The sequence below is a fragment of the Homo sapiens genome, chromosome 1, assembly GCF_000001405.40.
Source record: "Homo sapiens chromosome 1, GRCh38.p14 Primary Assembly".
NCBI classification, from domain to species: domain Eukaryota; kingdom Metazoa; phylum Chordata; class Mammalia; order Primates; family Hominidae; genus Homo; species Homo sapiens.
In genome coordinates this window covers 203896859-203904269 of record NC_000001.11, presented here as the reverse complement: position 1 = coordinate 203904269, position 7411 = coordinate 203896859, and the positions used below count along the sequence as shown (strand labels likewise).

The following is a 7411-nucleotide window of genomic DNA, read 5'->3' as shown; positions in this document are numbered from 1 at the left end:
TAAAATTTTTTTAATTTGTTATGATTTCTTTTTTCACTCTAAATGAAAAGTTACTTCTGTGCATAATTTTGTACTTATGATTTTATAAATTTATATTTTCACTTTTTTCTTTCTTTTTTTTTTTTTTTAACAAAAAGAGTCCCCAAATTACATGAGCTTCAGGTCCTACAAAGCCTGGCTCCACTCCTGATGACAGATGACTATAAAAACAAGAGAGCGGAGTATGAGTCTGAGGCGGAGGGAGTCATGGCAGGAAGGACAAGCGTTTAGAAAGTTTCTTCCACTCTTTGACCAAGTATTGGTTGAAAGGAGTACTGCTGAAACTGTAACCAAAGGAGGCATTATGCTTCAAGGAAAAGTATTGCAAGCAACAGTAGTCGCTGTTGGATCGTGTTCTAAAGGAAAGGGTGGAGAGATTCAACCAGTTAGAGTGAAAGTTGAAGATAAAGTTCTTCTCCCAGAATATGGAGGCACCAAAGTAGTTCTAGATGACAAGGATTATTTCCTGTTTAGAGATGGTGACATTCTTGGAAAGTACGTAGGCTGAAATAAGTCACTATTGAAATGGCATCAACGTGAAACTGCCCATTCCACTGAAGTTCTGAAATCTTTCATCATGTAAATAATTTCCATATTTCTCTTTTATAATAAACTAATGATAACTAATGAAAAAAAAAACACAACATCAGTTGAGGTAAACTTATTAATCATTTCAATAGAAGTTTGAAAATGCACGATAATAAAATTCAACAACCTTCACATTAAAACTAGATATATTTACTATATCTAGTAGTATGCTATAGTAGATATATTTTTGCACATCATGTTGGGGTGGAAAAATAAAAATACAAAGTACAGATATATTCTACCTAGAGTTAACCAAACTACAAAGTTTGAGGGAACAGTTCCCACAAGACTATCCTCACTTCTGATACAAACTACAAATTTGGAGGGGTCCAAAAACTACCTTCTTTGATAATTCACAAGACTCACAGAGCTCACTGAAAGGTATTATGTTCATGGTTACGGTTTCTTACAGAGAAAAGATACAAATAAAAATCAGCCAAGGTGGCTGTGTAAAATGGTGCAGCCACTACAAAAAAAATTGTGGTGGTTTCTCAAAAAAAAAAAAAAAATTACCATAGCAATTCTACTTGGGGTGTATTCAAAATAATTGAAAGCAGGTCTCAAAGAGACATCTGCACACCCATGTTCATAGCAGCATTATTCATACTATCTAAAACACAGAAGCAACCCCAAATGTCTACTGACAGAGGAATGGATAAACACAATGTGGTATATACATACAGTGAAATATTACACAGCCTTAAAAAGAAAGGAAATTCTGACATGCTACAAAATGAATGAACCTGAGAACATTATCCTAAGTGAAATGTCAGTCACATAAAGACAAATGCTGTATGATTCTACTTATTTGAGGCAGAGTAGTCAAAATCACACAGACAGAAAGTAGAATGGTGTTTGCCAAAGGGTGAAGGGGAGAGAAGAATGGGAAGTTGTTTAAAGGGTACAGAGTTTCAATTTTACAAGATGAAAAGAATTATGAAGATGCACAACATTATAAATGCATTTAACACTGCTGAACTGTATACATAAAAATGGTTAAGACAGTACATTTTACGTTACGTATACCTTATTACAATTAAAGAATTTGGCCAGGCGCGGTGGCTCACACCTGTAATCCCAGCACTTTGAGAGGCTGAGGCAGCCGGATCACCTGAAGTTGGGAGTTCGAAACCAGCCTGACCAACATGGAGAAACCCTATCTCTACTAAAAGTACAAAATTAGCCGGGCATGGTGGCAGGTGCCTATAATCCCAGTTACTCGGGAGGCTGAGGCAGGAGAATCGCTTGAATCCAGGAGGCAGAGGTTGCAGTGAGCCAAGATCGCACCACTGCAGTCCAGCCTGGGCAACAAGAGTGAAACTCCGTCTCAAAAAAAAAAAAAAATTTTGAAAAAATACAGGACCCCCATATAAATTTGAATTTCAGACATACTTATGTTAAAAAATAATTGTTTACTGAAATCCAGATTTAATTGGTGTCCTGTATTTACCTGGCAATCGTAACCCCTCCCACTGAAAATAGTAGCTATACACCAAACACAAACATACACATACATAGCCACATACATACCCACACACATAATAACCTTAAAGGCATCAGAAGTGACAAAAAGGAATTATCAAGTGTGATAACTTTGTACTGTGTCAATGAAGAGTGTAATTAACATACTCAGAGATAGGAAAAGATGACAAATTCCTACAATGAGAGATGAAGAATTTTTTCATACACACAGACTCCGAGTTTGCAGCTTCAGTTCTACAACTTCAGTCATGGATCAAAGTAAACACAGAATATAAAATCTCACTAGTTCTGATCTCAAATAGATTTTCCTGTCCAGTGTGCACAATTTTTTTTTCTTTTTTGTTGACAGTCTCGCACTGTTGCCCAGGCTGGAATGCAGTGGCGCAATCTTCGCTCACCGCAACCTCCACCTCCCGGGTTCAAGTGATTCTCCTGCCTCACCATCCCGAGTAGCTAGGACTACAGGTGTGCGCCACCACAGCCGGCTAATTTTTGTACTTTTAGTAGAGACGGGGTTTCACAATGTTGCCCAGGATGGTCTCAATCTCTTGAACTTGTGATCCGCCTGCCTCGTCTTCCCAAAGTGCTGGGATTATAGGCGTGACCCACCGGCGTCCGGCCACAAAACATTTTCTTATTTGACTTGAACTAACAAATAGGCGAAGTTTCACAAAAAGAAAAAGAGTCACAAAACATATTCTATCATCTTTTAGCTAACAGAGTATTTAAACTCCCATCACGTTGACATCTGTAACCAAATGGGCAGACCATAATATCAGACCCCCAATTGTTGCTATTGTGTCCCGAATTGGTGGGTTCTTCGTCTCAGTGACCTCAAGAATGAGGCCACGGACCCTCGCAGTAAGTGTTACAGTTCTTAAAGGCTACGTGTCCAGAGTTTGTTCCTTCTGGTGTTCCAATGTGTTCAGAATTTTTTCCTTCTAGTCGATTCGTGGTCTCGCTGGCTCAGGAGTGAAGCCGCAGACCTTTGCGGTGAGCGTTATAGCTCATAAAGGGAGCATGTACCCAAACAGTGAGCAGCAACAAGATTTATTGCAAAGAGCAAAAGAACAAAAGCACCACAACGTGAAGGAGGACCCCAATGGGTTGCCACGCTAGCTAGGCAGCCTGCCTTTATTCTTATCTGGCCCCACCCACGTCCTGCTGATTGGTCCATTTTACAGAGAGCCAATTGGTCTGTTTTACAGAGAGCTGATTGGTCCGTTTTGACAGGGTGCTGATTGGTGTGTTTACAATCCCTGAGCTAGACATAAAGATTCTCCAAGTCCCCACCAGATTAGCTAGATACAGAGTGCCAATTGGTGCATCCCCAAACTGTGAGCCAGACACAGGGTGCTGATTGGTGTGTTTACAAACCTTGAGCTAGAGAGAGTGCTGATTGGTGTATTTACAATCCCTTAGGTAGACATAAATGTTCTCCAAGTCCCCACCAGACTCAGGAGCCCAGCTGGCTTCACCAAGTGGTTACCCCACTGGGGCCACAGGTGGAGCTGCCTGCCCTTCTCGTCCCGTGCGCCCGCACTCCTCAGCCCTTGGGTGGTCGATGGGATCAGGCGCCGTGGAGCAGGGGGCGGCACTCCTCGGGGAGGCTCAGGCCGTGCAGGAGCCCACGGCGGGTGGAGGGGGATGGGGAAGTTCAGGCATGGCGGGCTGCAGGTCCGAGCCCTGCTGGGGAGGCAGCTAAGGCCCGGCGAGAAATCGAGCACAGCGCCGGTGGCCAGCACTGCTGGGGGACCCAGCTCACCCTTCGCAGCTGCTGGCCCGGGTGCTAAGCTCCTCAGTGCTCAGGGCCGGCGGGGCGGCCGGCCGCTCCGAGTGCAGGGCCCGCCAAGCCCACGCCCACCCGGAACTCTAGCTGGCCTGCAAGCGCTGCACGCAGCCCCAGTTCCCACCCGTGCCTCACCCTCCACACCTCCCCACAAGCCGAGGGAACCGGCTCCGGCCTCGGCCAGCCCAGAGAAGGGCTCCCACGGTGCAGCGGCGGGCTGAAGGGCTCCTCAAGCACGGCCAGAATGGGCGCTGAGGCCTAGAAGGCACCGAGAGCGAGCGAGGGCTGCGAGGGCTTGCCAGCACGCTGTCACCTCTCACTATGATCAATTGAGAACAGCTTGTAAACTGTCTGCAAATCAGAAATAGAACCAAGTTTAGCCAAGAACCAAAAACAAAAATAACAACACAGGGTAGGAATAAAGAAAGAGATGGAGACTAAAGTTATATTTCTACCTGGGATTCATTCCAGGGACCAATAAAATGGTATGCCTGTGCTTAAATATTCTATAAGGCGCACTTCAAGGGCAAAACTCCTTAATTGTTTCAGGTAAGTGTCCATTTGGAACTTCCATAACAAAGTATAATATTTAAAAGGTTTAAAATATGTCTTTTACAGAAATAATAGAATGAACCCATGTCAAAAATACATTAACTTATTAATGATAGGACCACAAAACTAATGAAAGTAGTTCCAAGAGTATTGGAGGAAGTTTATATTTATAGACATGTTATTTTTAAAAAGAATGCTGGATTAAGATTGCTAGGTTAGATACAAAACTGGTAAATGAGTTCCAGGGCAATAAAACTATAACCTTTGGGGTTATCTTTTCCACTGGACAGAAATCTAAAAGTTAACATTTAACTTCACAGATTTGGGCTTTAACAGATGGTAAATAGTAAAGTCAAACACACATTCTAAAGAAGTCAACAATCTTCGGATGGGCCTGTTAAACAGTGCTCTAGTAAGACATTGAAAAGACAGGCTATACTTTCTTTTGCTTATTTCTAAATTTAAAATTTTTTTTCTTTCTTTTTTTTTTTTTTTTTGAGATAGAATCTCACTCTATCACCCAGGCTGAAGTGCAATGGAGCAATCTCGGCTTACTGCAAACTCCGCCTCCTGGGTTCAAGCAATTCTTCTGCCTCAGCCTCGCAAGTAGCTGGGACTACTGGCGCGTGCCACCACGCCCGGGTAATTTTTGTATTAGTAGAGATGTTTCACCATGTTGGCCAGGCTGGTCTTTAACTCCTGAGCTCAGGTGATCCACCCACATCGGCCTCCCAAAGTGCTGGGATTACAGGCGTAAGCCACTGCACCTAGCCTTAATTTTTTTTTCTTTAGAAGAATGTGCTCAACTGGTCTTGAGTCCTGCCTTTGTATGCATCTCTCCTATTTGACACGCTACCCTGAGAACTCTAGTTGCCATGGCCTCCCAGTAATCCAGTTCCATCCCTTCAATGCAGGGAGATGTTTAGGTTACACCTAGGTTCCCACTCCCTTCATTCTAGCAAGTATTTTCAGGCAGTAAGCTGGGCCAATTGTAGAGCTCTGTTTCTTTCCCATTCATCAGGGTTCACTGTACTCAGTAGCCTAATGTCCAATATCTTAAAAACCATTGTTTCATGTACTTAGTCTAGTTTTCCAGTTGTTTCAGTCAAAAGGGTAAATCCATTTCCTATTACTTACTTTATCTTGGCTTCTTTTTCTTGTTTCATCATTGCAGCAGTTAAATCACTCAGTATAACACTGAATAGGTGAGAGCAGACATCATTGCCTTCTTCCTGATTGTACAGGGAAAGCATTAAATCTTTCAACATTTAACACGATATCGATGTAGGTTTTTCATAAATAACTAACCTTAATTTGCTGAGAGTTTACTTATGTTTTCTAAGTGTTGAGATCATAGTTGTTGTTTTTTTCTTTTATATGCTGTTAATGTGGAAAATTGCATTGATTGGCCTAGAGTGAGTTGGGGAATGTTCTGTTCTCTTTAACTGTCAGCAAGACTTTGTGGGGAATTTGTATTTGCTTTTCTTCCTTAAATGTATGGTAGAATATAATAATAAAGCTATCTGGGCCTGGTGTTGTCTTTGTGGGGTTTCTAGCTACAAATCCAAATTATTTATAAGTTATATAGCTATTGAAGTTAACTATTTCCTCTTGAGTAAATTTTGGTAAGTTTGTCTTTCAAGGTATTTCTTCTAAATTGTCTGATTTATTGGCATAAAATTGTTCATAATATTGCCTTATTGCCTCTTAATATACGTAATATCTGTAGTTATGTCACTTCTCTCATGTAATTTGTGTCACCTCTATTTTTTCCTGATCAATCCTGCCAGAGGTTTATCAATGTCATTGATCTTCTAATTTAAAAAAGCCCTTTCGTTTCTACTGAGTTTCTTTATTACTTTTGTTTTATACCTCATTGATTTCCACCCTCATCTTTTATTATTTCCTTTTTTCTGCTTACTTTATTTGCTTTTTTTTTTTTTTTTTTGAGACGGAGTCGCGCTGTTGCCCAGGCTGGAGTGCAGAGGCACAATCTCGGCTCACTGCAAGCTCCGCCTCCCGGGTTCACGCCATTCTCCTGCCTCAGCCTCCCTAGTAGCTGGGACTACAGGCACCTGCCACCACGCCCAGCTGATTTTTTGTATTTTTAGTAGAGATGGGGTTTCACCGTGGTCTCGATCTTCTGACCTCGTGATCCGCCCTCCTCTGCCTCCCAAAGTGCTGGGATTACAGGCGTGATTTATTTGCTCTTTATTTTCTAGTTTCTTAAGGTAGAAGCTGAGGTCATTGATTTAAGATCTTCCTTCTTTTCAAATGTATGTATTTATGCTACAAATTTCGCTCTGAATCATGCTTTAACTATATCCTACAAATTTTGATATGTGTGCTTTCATTTTTCATTCAGTTCAAAATGAGTCCCAACTTCCCTTTTGGTTTCTTTGTTGGTACATGGACTGCATAGAAGGATATTATTTAGTTTCTAAATATTTGTTAATTTCCCAGAGATTGGTTATTTCTAACTTTATTGAGGTCACACGTTGAATGATTTTTTTTTTTTTTTTTTTTTTTTTTGAGATGGAGTTTCGTTCTTGTTGCCCAGGCTGGAGTGCAATGGCGCAATCTTGGCTCATCGCAACCTCCACCTCCCGGGTTCGAGTGATTCTTCCTGTCTCAGCCTCCCAAGTAGCTCGGATTACAGGCATGTGCCACCACGCCCCGCTAATTTTTTTGTATTTAGTTTCACCATGTTAGTCAGGCTGGTCGTGAACTCCTGACCTCAGGTGATCCACCCGCCTTGACCTCCCAAAGTGCTGGGATTACAGGTGTACGCCACTGCGCCTGGCTATGAGGTCACACTTTGAATGATTTTAATCCTTTTAAATGCATTGATACTTGCTGCCCAGAACTTAGCCTATCTTGATAAAGTCCCTTGTGCACTTGAAAAAAAGTTTTCTGTTGATGCTGAGTGCTGTATAGTTTTTATTTTTAAAAATGTTTATC

At 41.7% G+C, this 7411-nt stretch overlaps 1 pseudogene; it reads left to right on the top strand.

Moving 5' to 3' along the window:
- HSPE1P6 (heat shock protein family E (Hsp10) member 1 pseudogene 6) lies at positions 209-669 on the top strand (annotated as a pseudogene).